Genomic DNA, 27,938 nt, shown 5'->3' with positions numbered 1-27,938 from the left:
TGGTTGGAAGGTTCACAGGAGATTCATAAGACTTGCTGTCACCGGTTAATTTTCATAGCATGCATGCTTAAATGTCTATTTTTGGTCTGTTTATTCTGTTTCTTCACTACACAAAGTCATGTAAAACATGATAAATTGGACCTTATGAAACCTAATTAAATCAATGAGTGTTCTACTCCTTTATGTGGAAACCACAAGTATGTTGTAAAAGTCGCCACTCCCTTAATACGTGAACAAAATCAAAACATGCCATAATTCTAAGATGTTTGAGCTATATTTCTGTAGCCCATTTTGTGGTTAAGCCACCAGTGACATGTCTGAATAAGTAGATTTGATGGGTTGGCTTTTGGTTGTTAAAACCTGCCTCTCCACCTTCCCCTCCTTTCTTGTGAAGCATAATAGCCTTGTATTGAAGCTCTTCTTTATGTATCCTCCTAGCCATCTTACAGTTTTGACTTATCAGATAGGGAGGCATTCAGCTGGGCTTTATAAATAAACAGTTTATATGTAAAGTTGATGGGTTTATTTGATTTCTGGAAAATTCAAAAATATATACAAAAACTCAAAAATCCTAAAAGTGGCTGATACTTAAACAGAAGTGAAAGGCACAAGAGGTCATATAGTTGTGTCTCAATACCTATTCAGGGAAGAGAATTATTTCTGTAATATCATATTGCTTTCATTAAGATGGCCCTGGTCATAAAGGTGGTGTCTACAAATGGACCTGTCCATAAAGGATATCATTCATTTTATTTTATTCTTTTGTAGAGTCCTTTTTATACTTCACCAGGGAATTCTGGCACATTTTCTAAGTGAGTGTGAGCAGTTTAAGAACATATTTTGATTAATGAGTTTTGTGGACATTATGCTTTTTTTTTTTTTCAAATATAGTGTCCCATATGAATTCTGCCTAGAGTGTAGTGTATCTACTGTGAAATAAAAGGGCAGAGGGGTCACTTGCTATAATTAAAGAACAGAGTCCATTGTTGTCGGACAGCAAACTGTTTTGAAAGCTACATAAGAGGTTTAGCTGTTAAAGACGTTGGTAACTAAGGGTGGCGTCCAAATCAGCATTGATCCAGCTCCTTACTTTTCTATAGGCCTCCTCACAGGGTGACAGGGCTTTTTGAGGGAGGGGGCTGCCCTTTCCCCAAGAACACATGGAACTTAGGTATTTGTGTAATCAGACCCATCACTGAATTCTGACTTTGGTGTGTGAAATCCGTTTGCTTTGCTGGAGAGAGAAGGAATATGCATAACTGATCAAGATTGTCCTATAGGAGATAAATAATGTTTTGCAACTTTTAATAACTTTGCAAATAGTCTGTAAAAAACGGTGGGGGGAGGGATTGATAGTCCAAATGTCGTGAGGTTAAGAATGCTCTTCAAGTGAAATTGCTTGGCTGCAAGATGGTTTTAATTAGACTGTTATAAAGACTTATTTTTCCTAAGCAGCATTTTATAGTTAGTAAATGAAATGTATGCCGAAAGTGCTAAGCAGAAATCTCCCTAACCACAGAGGTGTTCAATAACCAGATTCGAACAACATGGAAAGTACCATCTGTTCTTCGTTTTCAGCGTGAAAAAGAGGGATTGAATGGCTGCGATTTGCTCCAGTTTCGACGGTGTCTGTGTGTGCGCGTGTATTCTTTTTTAATTTAAAAAAGTTCACCTGGTACTTCATAGAAACTTGAAATTGCAGTAATATGAGCAACACTGTGAAAACACATGTTCCTGCATTTATTTTAACCAGTTCCACTTTTATTTAAAAGATTTCCAGAAGCCCAGCCATTGAACACTTTATAATGGTTATACAGTTCCTGCAGGCAATCACAATGAGCGGTCAGCTTTTCCAAAGATCTGACTATTTAGTCAGTACTTGAATTATTCTGTCAATTTTCCCCCTGGAGGCAAGGAGGGGAAAAGGCTCTCACGCCAACTCTGGTCAGCGTTTATCAGTTAATCTAATTGTGTGTGATATTGCTGTGGACTGGTGTTTACTATACATAGACCTTGCTCTTGTTCAGAGCTGTAATCTAGGATTGTTGATAATGAGGAAAATATCCTTTTAAGGAAGGGTAACTTTTGAGTCCTTGACTTTTAGACACTAAGAATCTTGGTTCTGGGTTTAGTTAGAGCCCTGGGTAAAACATTATCCGGCCTTTGTTTGAGGTCTTTTATTGAAGCTAATGACTGGGCTTGTGCCTCCCTGAGATAAATGACATTATCTCTGAGTGGCCTGACAGGAAACAGACATGTTAATGGTGAAGCTGCGGGGAGGATCTGCTTGGGTTCTGACAAAAGAGTCGAGAAAGGGACCCCTGGTTGTGGTCATTAACACATAATGCATTCTTGCTCTTCCTAAGAGGCCCTTGATAATTGGAAAGCTATTTTAGCCACAAGCACTTAAATCATAAATCTACTACTCCTAGTTCTTTGCATTCTTAAAAGTAGCAAAGTAATGTGTTTTTTGTTAACAAGTGTGTGATCTGGTTTTTTAACGTGGTGGCAGCTCTAGGCTGCCTGGGTAATGACGTGTGGGAGAGCTGCACGTTGAATTGTTTTTATCAGTTGAGATCCTTCTTTGTCTTTCAGCATTGCTCAGCCATCCCTCTACTTTAATAAAGTGAAAAGTGGGTACAGAGCTGAAAATAAGTCATTTTTATGCTTGAAGATGTCTTGTGGGAGGGGGATAAAATCTGTTTCATAAGATATTGTGCAGTGATTTGAATGTGATGAAACCTGACTTGGAGTGTATGTTTTCAAAAGTCATGAGTATAATTGAGTTTCAATGCAGTTTAAACTCTCTGCTTCTTGAAGGAAGATAATTGCCACATTGAACACACTCTAGAGGTGTAGAAGAGGTGGCAGGATCATGTTATTCTATTCTTTAATATTAAGCACTGGAAGTTTTTCATAGTAATTACTGCAGCACAACATAGTTTTGATTGCCAGCACTCTGAACTTGCCAGCAATCTGAACATCAAGGGTTTTGCTTGAATACAAAACACTTTATTCCTAAATTACTTGTATTACATTCCTGTGTTATATGGAAGTCAGAACTAAGGAAATACTGGGCTATCCTTGTTAGCAACATCTTAGGGAAAATAACCCTTCTTCGCTAGGATTCTTGTTGATAAATGATCATAATACTCTCCTAATGTAGTCATTGAAGATTAAAGGGATGGAGAACAGGTGAGCTCCCTGCCTCAGTGATGACTTAGACTGTCATTAGAGAGTAAGTAATATGTGTATGATATTGGTGCCCTGTAACTGGTATGTCATAGGTGTGTGTATATAAATGTTGTAACTGCATATACAGATGTTGGATTGGGAGTATTTAGTTAGTATGGGTTTTATTCTTTAAAAAATGTTCACTGTTGGTTTTACGTTCCACTCTGTTGCAGAATATATGGACCTCTCCCTCTGTGTCTAATTCTTTCTCCCAACTGCAGTTTCACTAGTGACTACTTGCTCCCTGTCACAAGTTCTTTTTAATTTAAGCTCAAGGTTTTGGCAATGGGAACAAAGCCTTTGCAACTGAATGAAAGGTTGTTAAACTATTCATAGTTGATTGACCAGCAGTTGGGCTGTTTGTAATGTTATTTTGAGAGCTCAAAGGATATGCAACCTCTTGCATATCCAAAGTGAGACTTTGCTCCTAAAGCTGAATTTTGCATATTTGCTAAATTTTTCTTGGAAATACCTTTGGGAATGTAGTAGAAAAGATGATGGGTTTTGCCTTAAGAACTGAAATGATCACAAAGCAAATACTTATATTTTGCTAGGTCTGTGGGCCTTGAACCACAGGGATCCCATCTGGTATTCAGAAGGCTTTTCCCCCCAGTGAAACTAAATGAAAACTTAAAGGTATATATTGTAACTGTAATAAAGAACTCAAAGGAAAAGGTGTTTCGGTTAGAACAAATAGGTTTGAAATGATGAACAAATACTTCTGTGGATTTTTCAAAGCCACTTACTCTTCTTTCTCATTTCCACCCCCCGACCTAGTTTGAATATCATTCACTGTGACTATTCCAACCCAACTACTGAGCTTTCTGCCTCCTGGGAATCCTCATTGTCAGCTAGCACCTTAAGAAAAATGTGTCTGCAGGGACATTTAGGCATATTCCAATAATGCCACATGAATGTAGCTTTTACAGTTTAAAAAGCAAGTAAAAATATATTGATTATATTTTGTGTTGTACATAATGATTTCAGAAAGCAGATATTTAGGTTGTGGAATTGGCTTATTATGCTAACCAGAGAGCAGATGGCATGGTGCCACAGACGTATAATTTTACTTAAAGGGACTTTTAAGGTTTTGATGTGTTTTCTTTTCCTCTTATTTCCCTGATGGCTTCTTTTCATTGAAGGGTAACTTAAGGAGACCTGGTAGCAATTTTACTGCCTTCCCCTGACAGTTTGAAATAATAGCTTGGTCTTTGGTTGCACTGATCTTCTACCAGTCAACTCGATTCTGGTTTTTGTCATGTGGCAGAGAATTTTTAAAAAAAGTGTTAGTAGTATGTTTTAAGAAGTGGACTCTTTTATATGCCTCAATTAGCAACAGACGACAAAGTTCCAATTGGTCACACTTTCATAAACTCCTGGAAGTCACTGTTTGTCCTTTTGATTAAAGAAAACTCCTGGTTTAGTTTCTTAGGAAAAGCACATCTGGCCCTCTGGCCGCTTTTGGTATACCTTTTTGTCCTTCGCATTAGTCACTGAAGGTTCAAAGGTTGTGTCTAAGTTGTTCCTAGTTAGGTTAGAAAATTTTCCCCATGCTGGAGGAAATGTACTTTTTTTTTTTTAAACTACACTCATCATGTGTTTGGATTCAGCTGGCATAAAAGTACCTTTTGTTTTTGTACCTAGATTTTACAGTTTTATCCATTATTCACCTCACACATCATCAGGATGAGTTGGAAAGCATCTTCTAACTTTTTTTTCCAAAGCGTGCATAGCCAGACCAGTTTACTTCTGGATTTCCTGTCACTTCCTTGGCTGATTTTATGGATGGCTCATGTTAAAAACAACAAAAATGTTTGAACTGGAAGGGTTGAAGCCTTGGGTTTTCATTCTTCATGGAGAACTGTTTATTTGTGTGTGGTTCACCACAGTACATGGATAATGCTATCAAATCTGTGCTTTATTATAGGCTTATGACTAGCACAGCCGCACTTTAGTTATGTGTTCCCGTGCTTTAGTTATTTGCCAATTCTTTTGTGATGGAAATGAAATTAGAGCTGAATCTTTGCAACGAAGGGGAAAATAGGCACAACAAATAGAAACTATCCCTTGAGCCAGTTAAGAAGTAAGCAGTGGTGATTAAACATGTTTTTTTTTTTTCAAAATAAGTGAAACACAGAGGAAACTACTTCCTTTTAGCTTTTCTGTGAAGTTGTGTGGAAGATGAGCTCAACATTTTGAGAAGTGGAGGCTGCAGCTAGATTTTATCCCCTTGTATCGTTTGACATCTTCAGTAATTGAAAAGCGATTCGTATTCCCAAATTTTTAAACTTCTCTAAAGGTGTAATTTGAGTTAAGTAATATTGTTTGTTTCTGCCCCCAAAAGGGAGCAACATGATGTTAAAACAGAGCAGTTGAGCCTCTCCGCATCCAACTCCATTTGGTCAATTGTCTCCATTTACATTCCCTGCCCAAATCTTTCACCAGCCTTTCCCATGATGCCGCAGCAGATGCCAGACACTGAAGTAGAAAGGGAGCAGCTGTTTCCAAACATTACTCCATTGCTGTATTATCCTCCACAATCTGCTTTCTTTTGCTCTCCCCTTCCCCCATTCTTAAAATAAAGAAGCCTTCTCTCCCTTTGACTTTTGCATCCTCCAGTTTATCAGTGTGCAGGTTTTCTATCTTATCAGTCGCACTGGTTTCTTCAGCAGGTCCCTTTATTGTTTTCGCTATGGGAGCAGATGGAGGGCCCTGGGCTCCTGGGGGCGTGGCCGCTGGCACCTCGGGCCCGGGGCTGCGCGTTCCCGACGGGGCGGCGGGGGCGTGCAGCCGGGAACGCGCCCTTCTTCCCGCCAGGGACCCGTTTATGGCCCTGAGCGCTGTAAATCTGTCAGCTCTTCACGACGCCTTCACCTCTTTCTTCATTTGCTCCAGCTTCTAGTTTGACAACGTTCCCCTGAGGCAGAATTCTAATCTGCTTCCAATTAGTTGCAAAATGTGACTGAAATTTCCACATTATGACTGCTGTTTTACTTGCACGCACACATCTAGAAACAAATTAATGCTCTTGAATATTTATTTTTTGAGCCCTTGGATTTACTTTAAGAGGAAGAGTTTCCAACTGTTTGGAATGACTTCCAGGATTTGCATTTTTTCCCGAAAGCCGAATATACTGGGTACATTAAAACAAAACAAAGCAACTATGGTTGCCCCCCATCACTTAATAAGACTTTTCCATCTTTTCAAGATTTCCCAAAATGTATTGCATATGTTTAAGTAATGCAAATAAATTTTGTAGTATTTCTAAAATAAAACAAGGATGTTTGGCTAAGGAACGGTCCCTATGCAGTGTTTTAATAAAAGAGAAATATACAGACACATTTCCTTCTAAATATAGTTTAAGTATACTTTGGCCAAAACACAAAGACTTTTGTTCCACACGTTTAAATTCTTTCATTCAATATTCAAAAGCTGTAAACCCAAATAAACGAATTGAGTGATTAATTGGCTTGGCACAAATCTAAGGGTAGCATTAAATAAGTTACTGTGGGCATTAATGTGTACCCAAGTTTTTGTGTAGGTCTCTGGAGCACACCCTCCCTCAGCGAGCGGCTGGGGTGGTTGTACTGAGATCAGTATAGTAGGTGGGTTCCTGTGACTTTGGTCTTCCCAGTCCCTCCGTACGCCAGTGTTAGGAGAATGGACCTAGTTCTGGGCTTCGGGGTGGTTCTGTATAGAGGGTGATCATCACTTATCACCCCAACTCCATTTCCTCTCTTTCAGTGATTTTTTTTAACAAAGATGTTGATCCCCCTGATTATATGTAAATATTAGAGTTGTTTAAATCTTGGTTGCTGAGAATGTCAAGTTAAGACAACCATTTTATTACTTGCCTTAAAGACTGCTTTCTCAAGTACTGGAGAATTTTAGTACCAAGGCAGTGGATTAGTATTTGTGAAAAGGTGCTACTCTTAATGTAAACGGCGAAATTTACTGGTGCCTTTTATAGTAGAATTTAGTCCTCAAGCATCTTGGCAGATTGATATCAACAGTAATAATGGGCTTTAAAGAGGTGTGAAGGATTTTATTGATGGTAAAGTGGTTATGTTGATCGCATCACTGTGTATTAGTTTCTGAGTAAGAACTGCACATGTAAATGGATGCATGAGTTTTTTTTAAACATCTTTATCATATATAATCATAAAACCCTATATTGATTGATTTCTAATGCTCTTTTATGTGCCACTTTGAATCTCTAATCAGGAGGTGGAGAATTTATTTCATTTTGTTTCAACAAAACCTATTCAAAATTATTTCTTAGATATATAGGGTATATGTTATTTAAATGGTTTTCTAAAAACTTATTTTTAGATATGCCAGAATTCCACAAAAGAAGTCGGAGTGCTCTTTGTATTGCTTCCTTTCTTCTTACTCAATGACTAGTAGTAGAAAAAAACAGCCAGATTGAAATCCTTAAAAATTTAAAATGTTGGGCCTTCAGATTGCAGAGACCTCCTGGGTTAAAAAAATGAAAAAATTAGTGGCCCTGTAGTGAAATGCTCACAATAGCAATGATTGTGGTAGCCCCTCAAGTCCTGGGGTTCACTAATTACCCTTTAATGAGGTCAGTCTGCCCCGGCTTTTTCCCTACCTTGGGAGGAAAAGCACACAAGACAGTTGGAGTTCAAGTGGATCTTGCTGTATTTGCAACTTAGCATAACTGCTTTGAAAGCCCCCAGGGTGCTTAATTGGGGCCTGGGCATTTTTGTTTGGGGAGAGACTACACACAGCTCCTCATTGTGCTTGTAGAAGCCACTGTGCATCTTGGAAGCATTACATGCTTTTGTTGATGGTGCATAGTTTTATAAACTCCAAATGAGCTTATTGCTTTTTAACCATTGGGAGAGCTAAATAATGGAAGAACCTAGAAGTCTTTGGGTTGGGTAGCCGCCAAACAGAAAAAAAAAAAAAAAAAAAAAAAGAGAGAGAGATAGAGAGAATGAATGGTTTAATTGGAGAGCAAACCATTTGTTTGCAGATTAAGATTTACTTGGTCGCCAAATCCTATGGATGAGGTGAAAGAATGAGGCCGTAAGGTACAGAAATTGAATGCCCAGTGTTATGTTTTGTGATCATGCTCAGCTGTTTTTACCCTTTTTTTTTTTCACAAAGAAGGCAAAAGAAGAATGAATTGTTTAATGGAGAGAACTGCCTAGCCAAGTGCATCTTTTAAGCTGTATAGAGGGAGGGAAGAAGGTGGGGAGGCAGATTATTTCTGTGCTCCCTGGTCAGGAAGCAAAACTCTCAAGGTTCTTTTAGCTGAGAGAGGGGCTAGAAGACTTGCTGAATCTTCCTGTTTGCTCACTTAAGGAGGAATGGTGGTGGTGGAGCTAGGGAGTAAAAAGTAGAAGAAAGGTGTGTGGGAAAGAGGGTGGTTGGGGTAGAGCTTTTGTTGCAAGGGCCCTAGACAATGCATTCTCTTGAATAATTGGGACCATTTATAGAAATTCCCCATGATTTCATTAGTTAGTAGCCCTGTTTCTGAATAGAAAGGGACTCTCCAGCAACAGCAGTGAAGTGGTACAGCAGTTTTGGAGGGGGAAAAGCAGTTGCCTGGCAGCCTGAATGTCAGTATGTCTTTTTTTTTTTTTTTTGAACAAACAAAAAAACCCCTTTCCTAAGGACTAGAAGACCAGAAATCATGGCATTTGTCCATGTTGTAGTTGCAGTTTGTCCTTCTAATCTTATTGTGAATAAATAGGTTTCTGGAAAGACCTAGCATTATTTTCTAGAAGTATCATTCTAAACACTCCTCAACTCACTGTTTTTATTTTTACTTTAATCTTGGGAGTGAAACCCTTTATCTTAATCTGCTCTTTTGTGTATAAACTGTCTCTCTTTTTGATAACTCAGGATGCATGCCATGAAAAAGCCCATTTCTTCTGTAACATTAAAATCATTTGTTTATTGATGCATATTTGATACATTGAACTTTTAAATATCTGAATTGGCTTTAGGTGATCTTGTTTTGTTTTTCTCCTAGCTTTAAGTTCTGGTATTATTTATTATTTTGGTATCATGATCCTTTTGAAATGGCATGATTTTTGAATCCAAATAATGGCTGATAGCTTCATTTTATAGATCTATTTCTTCTGAGGGGCGGTGAACAAGAGGATTGTAGGAATTGGGGAGCAAAGAGAGTGTAAAAAATTAGGTCTAAGTAGTTTCAGTTTTGTCAAACTGCTACTTACTTTTTAATGTGCCATTGCTCATTCCTGATTCTTTCCTGTTAATATTTTCCGTATTAGTGAGGAAAGAGACTGGATTTTACTTCTGTTAATGTCTAAAACTCCAAACTTTTTTTTTGTTTTTTGAGATGGAGTCTTGCTTTGTCGCCCAGGCTGGAGTGCAGTGGCACGATCTCGGCTCGCTGCAACCTCCGCCTCCCGGGTCCAAGCGATTCTCTTGCCTCAGCCTCCCGAGTATCTGGGATTACAGACACCCACCAGCACGCCTGGCTAATTTTTGTATTTTTAGTTGAGATGGGGTTTCACCATGTTGGCCAGGCTAGTCTCGAACTCCTGGCCTCAGGTAATCTGCCCGCCTCAGCCTCCCAAAATGCTGAGATTATAGGCATGAGCCACCACTCCTGGCCTAAAACTCCAAACTTTTAAATCTTGTGTCAGTTGGCTGGGCGCGGTGGCTCACGCCTGTAATCCCAGCACTTTGGAAGGCTGAGGTGGGCGGATCACGAGGTCAGGAGTTCGAGACCAGCCTGACCAACATGGTGAAACCCCGTCTGTACTAAAAGAATACAAAAATTAGCCAGGTGTGGTGGTTCGCACCTATAACCCCAGCTACTCAGGAAGCTGCAACAGGAGAATCGCTTGAACCCGGGAGGCAGAGGTTGCAGTGAGCTGACATCGTGCCACTGCACACCAGCCTGGGCCACAGAGCGAGACTCCGTCTCAAAAAAACCCAAAAAACAATAACACTGCCATAGTCACTAAGTAGACTAAATTTGTGTAAACACATCTTTTTAAAGTTATAAAAAAAAATCATGTCTTACCAGTAGGAAAACCTGCAGATGCTCACCTACATGTGATTTCTTTGGTTGACTGAATGCTCAGTCTAGGTTTACTTAGCAAACCAAAACAAAAGTGCAAAGATAAACATGGCTTCTCTTAATATTTGTGACAGCCTAGAAGCTTTGCAATCTTGAAATTGCTCTACAGTTTTAATCCTTCCTGGAAAGAAAGCTTTTTACCAAATTGTCAGTGCCTCCACTCTATGAATGCTTCTGAGGATTTAAAAAACAACCCCCCGAAATACAAATTTATTTCAGTAAGTTTAATATGTGCTCACATGTAGCATAAAGAATGGAGAGTAAGTGCTGAGCTTTCGGCCCCTCACAATTTAATATTAACAAGAGTTCTTGTCTCTTGCTTCTCCTCTCTAACCTGTTCTGTATACTACAGACGTGGATCCTTTTTGTTGCCCATATAAAATGTGAAAGGAAAAATGCCAACCTAAGACACTCTGAAAATGATTTCTATAAACCTGTTTACACCAAAGTCTAATACTCTCTATCTTAGCTCACATTAAAGGCTTAAAGTCTCCTTTGAAACACTAGCATTTGCATCCGTAAGCCTGCTATAAATTCCTGTACATTATTTCCTTGTAAAAACCAGTCTTTTCCATTTACCTGGAGTCAGTACATCTGCAAGAGTTACTTCCAGCAGATAATCCTGTCTAGTTTTAGACTGATAGAAATTTTGTAATATCTATAGCTATATACTGGTGATTGGATGACAACACGAAATCACTTGCCCTTGTTGGATTTCAGCTCTGTAAGTATATTGGGTCTTAAACATGTTAAATTTTCCTTTTTTGACACTTAAAGTAAACTCTGAAGAGGGTGGAAGCCTTTTTACACTTGAAAAATCTAGAAAATGCCCTATGTATTCAAATCACATTGTTGCCAGTGTTTAACACATAAACACAGATCTCTTCAAATCACTTGTGCATTTGGTGAGCAGCTTGCCAGCACACACCAGTAGTAGGAGGAAGTTAAATGGTGGTGAAAAAATAGGTACTGTTTTATCTTTTGTCTGTAAAATAAATTCTGAAAGCTTTTTGAATAATTTTACTTTGGATTTGTTGTTGCTTCAGGATCTAAGGAATAATACTAATTGTACAAATCTGTGCAGTGAGGTGTAGTTGCTTCCATGTTATTTGAGCCTGAATGTGCGTGCATAATTGGAGAGATTATTGGAGAGAGAGTGTTTTGCTGTGGTAGATGTGGTTTAAATCCTAGCACTGAGCATAGCATTTACTTTCTCAGCTTACCCACAAAATCTGTGACTAATTTAGTGAATGTGAAGATTTTTGTCCAGATGGTTAGGTTTAATTGTAAAAACTGGAAAGATTTCAAAGTACCCTTTGGGGGAGTGTGGGAAACAACAAGTAAACAACAAAAAAGAAATAAAAGTAACCACAGATCACTAAATATAGCATATATGTATATTTTATATTTATAAACACACATAGATATATATACTTAAACATATACACATATAGAAGTACAGTATTTACAGTCAAGGAACAGCTTAAAGAATTTGTTGTAACAGCACGAACCAATACAACCTACAAGAGGAGTAATTTTTAATGTTTAAGGATTTACTATGTTCTGTTCTTAAGTGTTTCCTAAATGTGAGTGTTTAGCCTCTCCCGGGCTCAGAATAGGTTTCCGCTCCAGTGTGATACCACTTTGCTGCCACTCGCTATCCTTGGTTTAGGGGCATTGTTAGGTACCTCACCAAACATTAGGGCAAATGTCCCTCTCACTCAGGACCTCCATTGGCTGGTCTTCCTCTCTGGGATGCTCTTGGAGGCCTGGGCTAGCCTGTTCTTCCCAAACTGCAGCTGTGAAGCTCAAAGACGGAGTAAGCTTGTGAAAGGGACAGTGAGATGGTGATCAGTGTGCTGTGTCAGGACGAGCCTTCTTTTAAAACAGCATCCATTTCTTCTTCACACTTCTTGCATTTGATGGCCATGCCAGAATGAGTACGGTAATCAGAACTGATGCTTTTAAAGCGACTCAGGGACCTCCTCCTTCTGGTTGCTTCCTGTGCAGATGAGCGCTTAAAGGGCAGAAATTGGTCTCCTCCCCTTTTGTAAAGTTAGAATACTGCTGACCTAAATCTTGGGCCCATAAATTAGCTTTTGAAGTTGGTGGGCTAATAGGGTTCTATAGTGAATTTTATTTATGTTACTTGGAATTATAAGAAGAGAAAGAAGAGTGATGTGTCATGGGGTTTAGGAAATAGGACAGAAGGTGAGGTTATGGGGCTGTTGATAAAGTCCGCATTGTTTAAGTGGGTGGGGTTTATGGTACTAGAGTCTACAACGCAAGCAACATGGATATATTTCTTGCACTAGAGTGGAAATATGCCCAAATATTTATAAATCAACATATTTAATAATATTCAGGAACTATAGAGAATGAGCTAAATGTATATGTATTTATCATATATCAATTGCTGTCATATTTGATTATTGAGTCTTCAGCATTTAAAAATGGCTAAGGAACGAGTTTGAGGTTGTCTTGCATGGTAACGAAGATAAGCAGAAGGCCAGACATGTTGGGATAGTGATTTTCAGATTATGGAAAATCTGCGTAAGATAGGTCAAGAGAAGGTGCTTCCTGTGGAGGAGTGAGTACTGTACATGTCTGTGAGGCTATTATTATTGCCAGCAGCATGGGAGAGCTAGATAAACAAAATGTCAGCCACCCCAAAGCAGAGGTGATCTTTGCTTTGATCCCCTTGGCTAAATTCCTCCTGAAAATATCTTTCTGATATGTTCCTATCCACCTAAAGCCTATTTTTTTCTCCATTTATCAAGAGCTTTGCCCTCCAATACCAACCTATTGAATGACCCTTAAGGTGATTTTAAGATAGCACCTCAATCCCATCGTGAGTCGACTTTTCAAGACCAAGGTATGGAATTCAAAGGTAGGGACTGGTCTAATAGGAGGAGAGGCATAAGAGCTTTCCTGGTGTCTTAAATCACACCTTTGGGCAGTCATCTCTTCTGCCTATTTGTAAAGCTGTGTTTGGAGAGAACCTCCTTTACAGATGTTTCTTAAGATACTTGGGGCCCGGCACAGTGGCTCACCCCCTGTAATCCCAGGACTTTGGGAAGCCGAGGCGGGCAGATCACCTGAGGTCGAGAGTTCGAGACCAGCCCGACCAACATGGACAAACCCTGTCTCTACTAAAAATACAAAATTAGTCGGGCATGGTGGCACATGCCTGTAATCCCAGCTACTTGGGAGGCTGAGGCAAGAGAATCGCTTTAACCCGGGAGATGGAGGTTGTGGTGAGCCGAGGTCATGCCATTGCACTCTAGCCTGGGCAACAAGAATGAAACTCTGTCTTAAAAAAAAAAAAAAAAAAAAAAAGGATACCTGGAGCTGGCAACAAGATACAACTGATGAGGCTGAAGCTGTATCTGATGTGTGTGGTTTTTTTTTTTTTTTTTTGGTCTGATTTTTTTTTTTAAGGGACTTTTATAACTAAGAAGTGAAGTTCAATAAGGACCTAATAAGAAAATGAGATCTTGAGGATTGATACCATCTTGAGAGTAGTATATATGTTATATATTTCTTTTTTCCATATTTGTTAATATCTTTTTACATATACATTCATTTCTAGAATTTCTGCATATTTCTAACATACCCAATGAAATTGATTTGAGAAAGAGAAATAATAGAAGTAGTATGCATAAACTGACAAAGATACTGTGAGGGCAGCTATACAAGGTCAAGACCAACTGGAATCCCAAGGACAGAAGTCAGAAAGATAATGGATGTGATAAACTCAGTACAGCCTGTATAAGCAGTGATACTTTTTTATTTCCTCTGAAGCCTTGACTTGGGGAGAGGAGAGGGTTTTAGAGTTGACAGAGCACAGGGTTGTGAAATTTTCTATTGAAAATCCTGGCACATTTAGAACACAGTGGAGAAGAAATTTACTGGAGGAGATTTGCCCACTTGTTGCAAAACTCTGTTGCTGTCACTGTAAGACCTTTGGTGCTAGGAACTATAGGTAAAGGGATGAAGTTGAAGTGTAGGATCTCACTGTGATTTTGAAGCTCTGTTACAGGGTAGAGGCCTGTGTTAAGTACAAGCTTGAGATGGGAGAGAAAGAGCAGATACAGCAACTGATGCTGAATTGAGAGAGGATCCAAAGCCCGGAATCCCAGTTGGTTGGATGTTTGCACTTTTTTTTTGTCTGGAGATGCTTCCTAGTCTGTTTCTTGACCGACTGCACATGCTGTTAAATCCACTCAGGTAACACATATGTGTTGGGCGCACAGCCCATGTCCAGATTGGACTCGGAGTTGGGCAGAGGCCAGGTCATGCAGGGCCTTGTAGGCCATGGTAAGGAATTTGGATTTTAGCTTGAATGCGATGAGAAACCATTTCAGAATTTTGAGCAAGGCAGTGACTTTTTTTTTTTTTTTTTTTTTTAAACAAATCTTACTGTTGACTGTTGTATAGAGAATTGACTGTAGAGAGGCAAGAAGAGGACAAGGGAAATCAGTTGCAAGACTTTTTCAGTGGTCCTGGTGAGAGAAGATAGGCTTCTTTGGTAGGCATGGAAGTGGTGGGAAGTGGCAAGAAATGGTCACGTTGTCCTGAGATAATGAGGATATGGATATATGTGGAGTTGTGAAAGAATGAGAATTAAGGAAAATACCTGGATTTTGGAGGTGGATGGAATCAAGAGTTGTGACTCATTTTTGATATATCCTGTGGCTGCCAAGTGATTATGGTCCTTCCACAGGAAGGCCAGGGCTGGAGACACCTATGGGCAAATAGGTGGGCTTTAAAGTTATTGGGCTGGAAGAGGTCACCTCTAGAGTTAGTTCCAATGGAAAAGACTAGGGCCCAGAGGTGGGCTATGGAGCAGTAGGAGCCAGCGCCGTGTCCATTGAGGGGGAAGAAAACCCAGCCAGTCTGGTGTTTCTGGAAAGCAATGGAAGAAATTCTAGCAAGGAAGGTGTGATCAGCTGTGTCAATTGCTGCCAAGAAGTCAGGTTAAAATGAGACTCAGAATTGATTTTTGGTGACATTAGCACAAATCGTTTCTGGGGTAAAGGGTAGTGATGGGGAAATAAAAAGTTTGATTAGAGTGCTTGGATTTTTTGTGGGAGGTGAGAAAAAACAGGACACTATGAATATAGCACCCTTTTCTATAAGGGGCAAAGAGATCAGGGAATATCTGTCATTTTTTAAAGTGGAGAACTCTCACAGCCTGTTTGTATGCTGATGGGAATGATGAGAGAGGGGTGGAGAAGAGCTGTCCATACTAGAGAGAGAGAGGAGACAGTGTCCTGAAATAGGGTGCATCCATGGGTCTCTGGAGCTAGGACAGTCCTCCATTATAACAGGAGAAAGTCAGAGAATATGTACAGATTTAGGAGTGGTACAGTTTTTTCTAGGAAAAAACTAGAGCGTTTTCATTTTATCACTGTGCAGGGTATTGTTGCTGTGTTAAGGGATTAAAAAAAATACACATGTCATAGACAGCAGTTAAATATTCATTTCCTTGCCTCCTCCTACAGTTTAGAAGCTTTGGCCATTTTGTGTTCTGACAGCAAAAATAATTAGAATGGGGGAGGTATAAAAGCAGGTCTCAATCTGTTCTTTCATTTGTTCATTCCTTTATTCATTCCTTACTTTGTTTACCCAGCAAAAATACCTAGTAAAAATATTTCCTCAGCAAACATTTTTTTGAATGTCTATTATATGCCTAGCACAGTCTGGGTCCTGGAGGTACAGTAGTGAAGAAACCAAGTCTCTGCTATCATGAAGCTTATATTCAAATTTATTCCAGACAAATAAATATATTTTGGTTGGCGTTACGTGCTATAAGGGAGAATCAAGCAGGAGAAGGTGGTAGAAAGAGATGGTGGAAAAGAAGAATTTTATTTGTTTATGTTTGAGTAGGGACCTGAGTACAGTTAGGAGCCATTTGGCCCCCTTGTGGAGGGAACTTTTTAGACCCAGGACCTGTGTACAATCCCCCCGGGGGTCGAGGAGAGGGAGAGTGTATTTGGTGTGTTTGAGGAGACACCAGAGTGACTGAAGCTGGATGAGGGAGAGAGGAGAGTTCCAGAAGATGAAATCTAAGATGGAGCTTGAGGCCAGGCTCCAGAGAGCCTTCCAGAACCAAGTAAGACTCAGAAAGGTGGGAGAGACTGGGGGGCTTTGCGCAGAGGAGGGACAGGCTGTGACTTAAGTTCTAAACGTATCTCAGTGTGTGGGAACTGATCCTAAGCTTAACCTCTGGCTTTTGATTTCATTCTCATTTCTCAGTGGTTGAGGGAGATGATGTTACCCCGTGTGAATTATATTAACTGATTTCACATGCAAGATCGTAAATACTGAGTCCTTTTTCAGAGAGTGGACAAAATGGTACCTTTCTCTGAAGACATTAATTGAAAGAGTATTACTTTCCCCAGAGAACGTATTCCAGGTGTCTCTGGTTGTGTACACACACACACACACACACACACACGTGCTGTTGAATTAATATAGCTGATGTTTACTAAAGTTACAAATAACAAAAAATTGGAAATGATGAGGTAATAATATAAATAGAAATGCCAGTCTTTTTTTTTTTTTTTTTTTGCACTCTTTGCATACTCCCTGGGTTTGACCATGTCTCCTACTTAGGAGACTGGTCCAGAGCCCTGAGAAATTAGTTGCATTTATTACTTTTTGACTATTTTTTTTAAATTAAAAAAAGAGGTCAGAAATTGGTAAAAGTTCAAACTACACTAAAATGTTATATAATGAAAAGTAGGTTTTACTTCCCCCTTATGCCCCCCAGACTGTTCCCTAGAGCCAATTATTTTGAACAGTTTTGTATGTCCTCGAAATAGTCCCCGTATGTTCAAGAATATATATTTATATTTTTGTCCCCTTATACAAATCACAGCATATTAAAGAAACTGATCTGCACCTTTAAAATGTTCCTTTGAACATCTTTGCACATGTGTGTTTCAAAATTTAATTGCCCCCCAACTTGATTGCATCCGTTTGCATTCCCAGCAATGGTGGAACATGAATTGCCTGTAGTTTCTACAATTTAATACTGTGAGTTATAATTTTCTGGCTTTAATCTGTGCTAATCTGATAGTAATCTATTATTTTAATTTGCATTTTTCATGGGTACAAGCCATTGTATTTATTTTCCTAAATATTGATAATTTATAACCTTTGATTATCTAGTGAGTTGTTGGCCATTTCTTATTTTAAAGTATTTCAGTGTATAATAATTAAATATATAATTTTTTCATGTGTTTTGCAAATTTTTTTATGTGCTTTGCAAATATTTTTTCCCATCTCTTCATTTGTCGTTTGATTCTGTTTATGCTGTTCCTCCCCCTACTCCGTGCAAATATCTTAAACTGTATAGTCAGATTCATTGATTGATGGAGTCAGCGTCTCACTCCATCACCCAGGCTGGAGTGCAGTGGCACGATCTCTGGTCATTGCAACCTCTGCCTCCTGGGTTCAAGTGATTCTCCTGCCTCAGCCTCTCGAGTGGCTGGAATTACAGGTGCCCACCACCATGACTGGTTAATTTTTGTACTTCTAGTAGAGATGGGGTTTCACCATGTTGGCTGGGCTGGTCCTGAACTCCTGGCCTCAGGTGATCCACCCACCTTGGCCTCCCAAAGTGCTGGGATTACAGGGGTGAGCCACTGTGCCCAGCCAAACATTTTTATTTATTAACCTTGGAGTAAGAAATGTCTCCCTAAACCAATACAAAACCCCTTAGCCATAAAAGGCAATGAATTATAAATCTGACTATAAGGCAGGGCGCGGCTCACGCCTATAATCCCAGTACTTTGGGAGGCAGAGGCGGGTGAATCACCTGAGACCAGGAATGCAAAACCAGCCTGGCCAATATGGAGAAACCTTGTAGCTGGGAGTGGTGTCGCGTGCCTGTAATCCCACCTATTTGAGAGGCTGAGAACCGAGAATTGCTTGAACTGGGGAGGCGGAGGCTGCAGTGAGCCAAGATCGTGCCACTGCACTCCAGCCTGGGAAACACAGAAAGACCTTGTCTCAAAAAAAAAAAAAAAATTTTTTTTTTAAAGTCTCCTACTGCTTTTATGGTAGTTGAACTATTTTTATGGTCTTTAACTGGAAGTTATGATACATACCTTCTTGGGTTTGGGGGTCGTATTTCTACTTAAATAATTTTTGATCCAGTATACAGAATTATTGAACTCTTAATATAAATATTATTTCTTAATCATAGCTGTGCATCTGAATTATCCGAAGAGTGCTTAATTGTTTTCATTTCCACAAATATTCAGTCTCAGGCTTCCTAACCCCTATTCTGATTCTCCAACTCTAAAGGTTGGCTCCTTTGTATGCATTTAGCAAAAGCTTCAGATAGCTTATTTGAAGATATCTTCTCCAACCCTCAACCCCCACCTCCCTGCCCTTTCTCAAAAGGGAGATGTTAGGAATAGTTATTAGAATTTCTTGCGTGTGTGTGTGTGTGTGTGTGTGTGTGTGTGTGTGTGTGTGTGTATTTTAAGGGTTTATTTATAGAAAAATCATCACAGTATTGCTTTAAATATGACTTCATTAAGGTGTTTTACAGGTGGTTAATTAGTGTACTTGGTCAAATGGGAGGCAAAAGGACTAATGATTTGCAGCTCCAGCCCTAGGAATATTTACAGCCGGTAAATACACTTACTGATGTTTCCCGGAATCTTAGGGCAGAAACATCCCTGCACAAATGAATTGCTTAAGTAGTAAAGATGAGCCATAGCTTTGCTTAGTTAGCCATTTTGGTTTAGTAGAATGTAGATAATTGCCATGGAGGCAGGGGGAAACGTTTTGGGAGTGTATAAAGCATGAAGTTGTAAGTATTACTGCTATAGGTCTGATCTATGCAGGTCATCTCTTCTAGTCAGCTGGGCTTCAGAAAATTGCCATGTTGCTCTTGTGCTCTCAGTGTGGAGGTAGCCAGTAAGTCCTGCTGATGTTGGCCACATGTGGCCTTTAGGTAGATTGTTCCCTCCTGCAGACCTTTTACTCTTGATTTCTACCTGGGTCATGATCCAGGGAGAGAAGCTCTAGAACTGGGAATTGGGGGACTGGTCCCACTTGATGATTTGGCTTTGAGTTCTTTTTTTTTTTTTTTTTTTTTTTTTTTTTTTGAGACAGAGTCTCATTCTGTCGCCCAGGCTGGAGTGCAGTGGTACGATCTCGGCTCACTGTAACCTCGGCTTCCTTGGTTCAAGCAATTCTCCTGCTACAGCCTTCCTTCCGAGTAGCTGGGATGACAGGCGCCCGCCACCTCGCCTGGGTAATTTTTGTATTTTTAAAGTAGAGATGGGGTTTCACCATGTTGGCCAGGCTGGTCTTGAACCCCTGACCTCAGACGATCCACCCGCCTCAGCCTCCCAAAGTGTTGAGATTACAGGCGTGAGCCACTGTGCCCGGCCTGGCTCTGAGTTCTTTTATGACCCTTGGGCAACAGCTACTGGCTCTGAGCCTTAGTTGCTTCTTGGTTATGTTGTCTGACTATCTTTACTGTTCCAAAACAGTTGTAATTTCCCCCATTTCTATTTATTGCTCTGGAAACACATGTCGTTTATCTACACTTTTGCTGTTTTGTTCTGTGGTGTGTGAGCGCATGTTTCCCCTGCCAGCCTGGAACCCCTGAGGGCATGGATGCCATCTTATTTGTTTTTATCTCCCCAGCGCCTAGCACTGAGCCCTCTTACAGGAAATGCTCAGTCAATATTTGTTGAATTGGATTCTCTTTTAGTAGGGTTACAGAGGAAAAAAGAGCCTTAAAACTGTCTCCATGGGGTCCACATCTTTTGTCTTTTCTTCCATGTAGAGATCGTTGGCAAAAACATTGATGGGAATTATCTATCTTGCATTTATGTGACATTTTTAATTCTTTAACAGTATTGTCATCTGTATAATCAGTTATATTGCACCTGGTTTCCCCAGTTTGGTAGAGCATGCCTATTGAGTTTTAAAGAATAAAGATGACTTATTCAGAAGGGTCATGCTCTCAGAATAACAAACTGTCATGGCATCCTGTTTGCAAAAATCTGCATTAGGCAGATTTTTGTCTGATGATTTCTTTGTTATCCACATGACTTTCAGGGCTAAAATGAAATGCTACTTTTTTCTTTAAGTCATTATTCAAAAGTAAGAGAGAAGCGTTTATTATAACATATAGCTTAGGTGTGACCTTGGGAAAGTTGTTTAAACCAAGTTAATGATTTAATTTGCGGGGTGGGGGTGGGGGAGAAGATAAAGAAAAAGGAAAAAAAAGCCAGCCCAGGAGTTGGGAGTGTAATTAGATATTATGAGCTCAGGCATGAATTTGGCCCCTTTATCTCTGTTGAAATTTGTGTAAGAACATGAAGTGCGGCCCATTCTGACACTTTAATCATAGGTCATTCATAGCCATAATTGTTGTTGAAAAGAACAGTGGTTGGATTTATTTTTACCTGGAAGTTGCCCGTTAAACACAACATGTTATTAAAATTTATTTTTCCAAAAAGTATACTTTTCAGTATACATTTAACAGATTGAAGCTATACATGTTTACCATGAAAGTCTGTTTCACCTGAATGAATTCCGGTGTTGCTGTGTTAGATAGCTATAGCATGGTTGTGGTTTTTGTAGAGCCTCTACTAAGTTTTATATTTCTTACCATTCACAATTTTTGCCAGAAAAGTGGTAGAAAAAAGAAACTTCATAATCAGAAAGGTGATAGAGAAACCTCATAGTCAGATATATTATAAAAGAAGATGATGACACCTATTAACAAGAAATCTAACATCTTTTGTGGTGAGCTTCTAATACAGTATCAACAAAGCCTAGGAAGAGTTTCCTTTTTGAGACACCCCGCTTGCCCCCAAATACATTCGCTCAGATAAATTACTTACTGAGAAGGCTATTTCTTTTCTAAAATAAAAAATACAATGAATAATTTGTAATCTCTATACAGTGCCTGGCATCTAGCTGCCCAAGGAACATTTGTTGAATTCAGTAGCACCTTAAATTATGTTTAAGTACTTCCAAAGCCATACTCCTGTTGGTTGTTTTGTTATTGTTGTTGTTGTTGTTTTGACAGACTTCAACGATCATAAGAGAGTATGTCATTGCTCTGGCTCACAGGTGAAGAAACTGAGGTTTAGAATGAATGCCTGTGCTTTTAGTCTAGCAAATGTTTATTGAGTATGCATTGTAATGAAGAAGAAGCACAGCTCTTGCCCTTGAATTTGCCACTGGGTCAGTTCTCATCTCCTAGGTAGGTTAGGATTTTACTGGGCATGTATGGACTCTCTCTCCAGGAAAAGGAAGAGAGAAAGTACACAAACGCAGAAACCTTTGCTTCTGTAATTACAAGGTTTCTGAGGCCCCACAAATCTTTGAACCCCAGATTAAGAATCTTTGATCCCCACATAAAGAATCTTTGATTTAACCATTGCTTGTCAACAAGCCCTTGAATTAAGTAACTGACTTAGGGGGCAAATAGCTTAACTACTGAGAAGCAATAGGAACCCCATGCTTCTTTTTCCTCTCCTAATGTTTTTCCCACCACCCCATGCTGATTTTGAAGTGGTGAACAACAAATGAAGTAACAGGAAAACACTTTGTAAATATAGTGTTCTACAGATATGAATGCAAACAAATCTGTAAGTGGCAGGGAAACCCAGGCCACACATTTCGCAGTGTGGCTTATGTTCATACATTAGGGAGCCTGCTGGAACCCCACTAAACTGTTAGTTGCCAGCTGTTTGGTTTAGTCTGATCATTTACAAAAATATAGCAATCCTCACTGGTGTGTGTGTTAAATACAGACATCACTGAAACGAACGCTGTGCCTGTGACATACATTTTTGCAAGTGCTTTCTATGTATGGGTTGTCAGAGCTAGTTTAATTCTAATTGCAGAAATATCAGTGGGATTTATATCTGTCTTCTTCAAATAGTTGGAAAGAAAAAATGTAAGCACTTGGCACACATTTTGATTTTTGTTCTACATTGAAAAGAACCATGTTAATTTCAAGAAACTCATTAATGTGCAGGTCCGTACTAGTAGTTTCTCTTAGTTACATATTGGTGGAAGGCAGAAGTATTAAAAATGGCATATATGTAATGAGATTTTACAAAATTTCTGATTTTGAGGGTAGAGAAAAAGCCAGTGGATTTCCTATTGTGCATGTTAATTTAAAAATAATTTAATAATGACTCCATTTGTTTCATTCCAGCATTAAAAAGGGACATGGAGAAGGCTTGCCTGTCTTTATTCACCAAATAGCGGTTTTGCAGACCCTTACAAGTTCCCATATGCTAGTGAAAAACATTTTCCAAGAAATTGGCAGCATTGCACTTTGTAGCTGATGCCAGCTTCTTCCTTGGGCCAATTCAACAGAGAAGAGAGGAAAAAAAAATGCCTTGTTTTAGTGGCTGAATTACTCTGACAAGCTTTCACATCGCCCCTCCTCTTATTAATATTCTTTTTGATGTGAGCTTGTAAAACAGAGGATTGGCTGTTAATCTCCAAGATCTCAAGGGCTTTTGGCAGTGGCCCATAATTGATGTGTTCACATGGCTGTTGTCTGACTACTAATGATTAGACAGCAGTGTTATCTACCAGCTAAATCAGTGTTGCTTATAAATCACACTTGATAAACTGCAGTTTCATTTCTTCAAAGAGTTCGTACAATTCTGCATACTTTGATGGAAGTGCCAGAGGCATTTCATGATTCTTTGACAGCTTAGATTAGGTTTATTTTTCATTTCTGTTTGACAAAATATTAGACTTTTTAACGCATGTGAAAGAGAATTTTTTTGTTCCCCTAACAAGGCATTTAAAGAGTGCTAAGCAGAGAAAGATGACCTGCTTTCAGTGGGAAGATGTACAAGTTGGGATGGCAGGTCCCAGTTTTGCTTTTGCTACCTACTCCAAGGTAAATGGAATGGGGCCATGGCATCTGGTGCCATGCCACTTTGAAAGAAGAAGAGAAGAGGCCACCAGCAAGGAAGTTTGCAGAATGTGGGCCTGTGCTCAGATTGTGACAGGGTGGAGTAGTGAGAGAGCACCAATTGCTCAGCCATGTTATGTGTTGAGCCCCTGCGTCAAGGTGTGATTCTGCTTTATAGACAGGCAAGAGAAAGCAAAAAGGATTTATAAGAGGAAAAGGTGCCAGCCATAGGATTCATTTTCCTCCTTCGCTGCCCCTATAGGGACACTTGCCTGGCCACAGACACACCCAGAGTCCCCCATCTGTCCAGAACTCTGTGTACTGCAGAGATGAAACCAGGTTGCATGTCGCATGCACATGGTGGGCTTTGAGAACTTCTGCTAAGTTTTGGGTCTTTATTGGCTACAAACTCCTGTGGTCTTGAGTTAACTTTCCTCATTTATAAAACTAAAACAACAACAAAAAAGGACTAAATGATATCTAAGCTCATTTTATTGCTCTTTATTTTGCATGTCCTTGGACTGTATTGTTTCAGAGCCTCAAAAAAGCCTTTTTGCTAACATTAGTTAATCTTTGCTTAATTTTTGAGATCAAATATTAGATTGCAAAGAAATGGTTAAATCAGAATGGTTTGTGATTTTTAAAAAATGAATTTATTTATTTATTTATTTAAGGTGGAGTCTCGCTCTGTCGCCCAGGCTGGAGTGCAGTGGCGCAATCTTGGCTCACTGCAATTTCCGCCTCTTGGGTTCAAGCAATTCTCCTGCCTCAGCCTCCCCAGTAGCTGGGATTACAGGTGCTTGCCACCATGCCTGGCTAATTTTTTTTTTTAATTTTTAGTAGAGACAGGGTTTCTCTATGTTGGCCAGGTGGGTCTCGAACTCCCGACCTCAGGTGATTCGCCCACCTAGGCCTCCCAAAATGCTGGGGTTACAGGCATGAGCCATTGCTCCTGGCCAGCAAAAATGAATTTTAAAAATCACATTTCTTTTAAGAGAAGTTTATATAATTTTAAAATGTGTCAGAGGGTAAATATTTAATCAAAATTTACTTTATTTTGAGATGGAGTTTTGCTGTTGTCGCCCAGACTGGAGTGCAATGGTGTCATCTTGGCTCACTGCAACCTCCGTCTCCCAGGTTCAAGTGATTCTCCTGCCTCAGCCTCCTGAGTAGCTGGGATTATAGGCATGCACCACCATGGCCCGGCTAATTTTGTATTTTTGTAGAGACGGGGTTTCTCCAGGTTGGTCAAGCTGGTCTCCAACTCCCGACCTCAGGTGATTCGCCTGCCTCGGCCTCCCAAACTGCTGGAATTACAGGCGTGAGCCACCATGCCCGGCCAAAATGTACAACTTTTACTCAGAATAAAATTATGTTCTGTGACCAAGATTGGGAGTGGGGCTAATAATAACTTATTAAAGTTTAAAGAGTTATTAGAGCTCTAGAATGCAAGAATGCAGGAGAATGCACTTAACACTAAAGCTACCTGAAAAAATTTCACCTATCCTACCCTACCCCACTCCACCAAAACAAAAGTCATGTAAGATTTAACTGAGTACTTCCTTTTATATCCAGTACTTTTAGACCTTAAATCTAGGTGGCAAGTTTATTTCCCAACTTCCTAAGAGTGGCTTTGACATGAGCACTACTTTTTCCTAGTATATTTTAGGGCTGTAATTAAAATAAGCACTATAGTCAGGGAATAAATGTTTATTGATAAGTATTAACATTGATGAACAAAGGTGCTTAACTAAGCTGCTTATTTAAATGACTTGTGGTTGAAGGAAATCCCCTCTTTTTTTTTTTATTAAATGAAACAATTTAAATTTAAGTTGTTTTGGTTATGGTTATTAGATTTTAATGTGCTATGGAAAAATACCCATGATTAACTTAGAGAAGATAGCCATTCAGTGATTTAAATAGATGCTTCATTTAGTTTTGATACGTAAAGCAACTATATTAGAGTTTCTTTCTTTTCTTTTTTTTTTTTTTTTTTTTTGAGACGGATTCTCGCTCTGTCGCCCAGGCTGGAGTGCAGTGGCGCGATCTCGGCTCACTGCCAGCTCCGCCTCCCGGGTTCAGGCCATTCTCCTGCCTCAGCCTCCCCAGTAGCTGGGACTACAGGTGCCCGCCACCACGCCCGGCTAATTTTTTGTATTTTTAGTAGAGACAGGGTTTCACCGTGTTAGCCAGGATGGTCTCCATCTCCTGACCTCGTGATCCGCCCGCCTCGGCCTCCCAAGGTGCTGGGATTACAGGCGTGAGCCACCGCGCCCGGCCTATATTAGAGTAATGCAGCTATAAAATATGAGAAAAATGCATTAAAAGTTATGGAGTATGGTTTTCATTACGTAAGATATGTATGCATAAGTAAGGGCTGGTTGGTAATATTAAAAATAAAAATAATGATAACATTTGAAAAGATTTTTTACACCACTTAAAAATAATATTTTCTGTTTAAAAGCAGTATACGTACATGTATCTATGAGCTTTATGAAGTGTGTATATTACCATTATGGCAAAAAATAAGCATGCATTTTTTAATTTTAGAAGATAATAGTTTTTCTTGACTGATTTAAATCATGATTCAAATCAACTTGATTTAAATGTAGTCTAGATAATGCTAAAACTATATTGCAGGTGTTTGTCAACTAGCTAGAAATTATTTTAATGGTTAAGGGAGTGCATAATAGAAATAATTATTTTGCTGCAGATATGGCAAGCTCTGTCACCCGTGGGGTGCTTGTACTTGGATATTAGACACATTTGTAAAAATAAATAATAAATATTCTGGAAACGTGATGCCAAGAGAGCGTGATCCTGTTTACCACCCCTGCTATCCTTCATTTCTTTGTGGCATCATTTTTTTTTGTGTGTTAAAGAGTAAATGAGCTGACTTGGTAACTGTGCAAGAATAAATGGTTAATAACATTTATTTTTATTTACATTTGGGCATTCTTTTGAGACCATTTTCATAGAGGTTGTTTCATTTAATTCTTGAAGTACCCCTATAAAATAGCTGAGGAAGCATTTTCATAGAGTCCATTTCATTTGATTCTTGAAGTACCCCTATGAAATAGCTGAAGCAAGCATTCTTAATTCTTATGGATGTTAACACTAGAAGCAGAAGATCCTGATCTCATTCTTAGGCTGGGATTTCTCCTAGGATGTCAGCTTTTAGAAGAAGAAAAATCACTGTTACCTCCAAATAAAATCTTACTATGTAGTTGGTTCTAAAGAACCTTAAATATTCAATTATAAATTCATCCCCAGGTATTTTGAAGTGTTTCATTTAATTTGAAAACTGTCATCTGGTTTTCAGAGACTACAGCAGTATGTTTTTAATGTGTTGGTTTAGCCATGTGACAAATTAAGCAAGCCCTATGAACATGTGTTACTGAGATTGGTATTGGCAAGGACAATAATAACTAACATTTGTTGAGCACTTATATGATAGAGATACTACGACGGGCTTTATGTAGGATCTCTTGTTTGATATGTCTATTACATTAAATACAATTAGGTAATACTATAATCTCCACTTTATAGGTGAGGAAATTGAGGCTTAGAAAGGTTAAGTAAATTTTCAAGATTATACTAGTAAGTAAATGATCTGAGATTGAAGCACAGAGACCACACTCCTATTTATTACACTATATTACCCAGTTCAAAAGCATTAGTGAGACATGTGATGTGTGACATTGACCTGTCATCCTCTGTGAGAAGTAGCTTCTGGGACTGATGGTCTTAGTTGTGCATCCATGACTAGACTTCTGGATGAAAGAACTCCAAGTTTCTAGGAGGGCTTGTTTCATTTCTAGTCCTCAACAGAATGTGTTTGAGAACTTGATTTTTTCATGTAATTCATTCACTTATGGGGCAATTAAGATAAAATATCCTGGTTTTCAAACTGAAAATGTTACCAAAAACACATTGCAATTACATAGGATGGTTGTTTCTTCTTTTGGGAATAGAGACGTATCATAGATTGACAATGTTGTTTTTTTTAAAAAAGTTTACTTCTTTGTCAGCTCCGTGAAGGGAGGGATCTTGTCTGTCTTGGTTGTCATTAGCACCCAGCACAATGGCTGGTATAATAAAAAGATGTTCAATAAATATTTAATGTTTTATGTTATGACTGCTTAAGTTAGAACTGGAATGTGGCTCCTCATATCTCTTTTGGTTTATGACTCCTAGGTTTTTTTAAGAGAGTTAGGTAGTAGTAGGTACATTTATTATTATTTTTCATTCAGAGATGGATCTATATGTTTACTTTTAAAATCTCCTACACTTCTGTCCACTCCCTACTTCCTTTTTCACTTCCTTCCTGCCCTGTTCCAACATACTGTTAACTTCCCCTCCCCCTCTCCACCAACAGATATTAACGTCCAAGAGTGAACCTAAATGAGCTCTTGAATTCAGTAGAGCAAGGATTGGCAAATTTTTTCTGTAAATGGCTGATAGTAAATACTTTAGGCTTTGCAGGCCAAGAGGCAACATCACGGATATTATGTAGGCACTTGGATAACAAGAGAGAAAACAAATTTCCACAGAATTTTTTAATTGACAAAATTTAAAATCCAATGACAATTATTGAGCACAATTTTTGGTAATACAGATCTACTGATGAGAAGTATGAAATTCTTTTTGTGGGAGAGAATAACATTCCACTTAATAAGTGTTCAA

The 27,938-nt window shown here is 39.1% G+C and overlaps 1 protein-coding gene across 8 annotated transcripts in view, besides 3 other annotated features; it reads left to right on the top strand.

Annotated features, from left to right (window-relative positions):
• ZNF608 (zinc finger protein 608) overlaps nucleotides 1-27,938 on the top strand; it is a 111,910-nt gene that overhangs the window by 7,431 nt on the left and 76,541 nt on the right. The window contains exon 1 of one of the 8 annotated variants that reach the window (XM_047417448.1): nucleotides 2-27,885. The exons of the other annotated variants lie outside the window; for them this stretch is intronic. The gene's annotated coding sequence lies outside the window, so the exon portion shown is untranslated. Of the gene's footprint in view, nucleotide 1; nucleotides 27,886-27,938 lie in introns of those variants that run through there. 8 annotated transcript variants of the gene reach the window in all.
• Nucleotides 2,139-2,746: an enhancer, noted in NCBI's record as "OCT4-NANOG-H3K27ac hESC enhancer chr5:124074341-124074948 (GRCh37/hg19 assembly coordinates)". NCBI's record gives its function as "activates a minimal SCP1, AML or CMV promoter by ChIP-STARR-seq in naive H9 embryonic stem cells {active_cell/tissue: H9 hESC(naive)}" and the evidence as "EXISTENCE:reporter gene assay evidence [ECO:0000049][PMID:30033119]".
• Nucleotides 3,355-3,964: an enhancer, noted in NCBI's record as "OCT4-NANOG-H3K4me1 hESC enhancer chr5:124073123-124073732 (GRCh37/hg19 assembly coordinates)". NCBI's record gives its function as "activates a minimal SCP1, AML or CMV promoter by ChIP-STARR-seq in naive and primed H9 embryonic stem cells {active_cell/tissue: H9 hESC(naive and primed)}" and the evidence as "EXISTENCE:reporter gene assay evidence [ECO:0000049][PMID:30033119]".
• Nucleotides 7,597-8,169: an enhancer, noted in NCBI's record as "NANOG hESC enhancer chr5:124068918-124069490 (GRCh37/hg19 assembly coordinates)". NCBI's record gives its function as "activates a minimal SCP1, AML or CMV promoter by ChIP-STARR-seq in naive H9 embryonic stem cells {active_cell/tissue: H9 hESC(naive)}" and the evidence as "EXISTENCE:reporter gene assay evidence [ECO:0000049][PMID:30033119]".

Source organism: Homo sapiens, chromosome 5 (genome assembly GCF_000001405.40).
Source record: "Homo sapiens chromosome 5, GRCh38.p14 Primary Assembly".
Lineage (NCBI taxonomy): Eukaryota > Metazoa > Chordata > Mammalia > Primates > Hominidae > Homo > Homo sapiens.
Note: the sequence above shows the minus strand (reverse complement) of the source record. Positions and strands in the feature narration are given on the sequence as shown.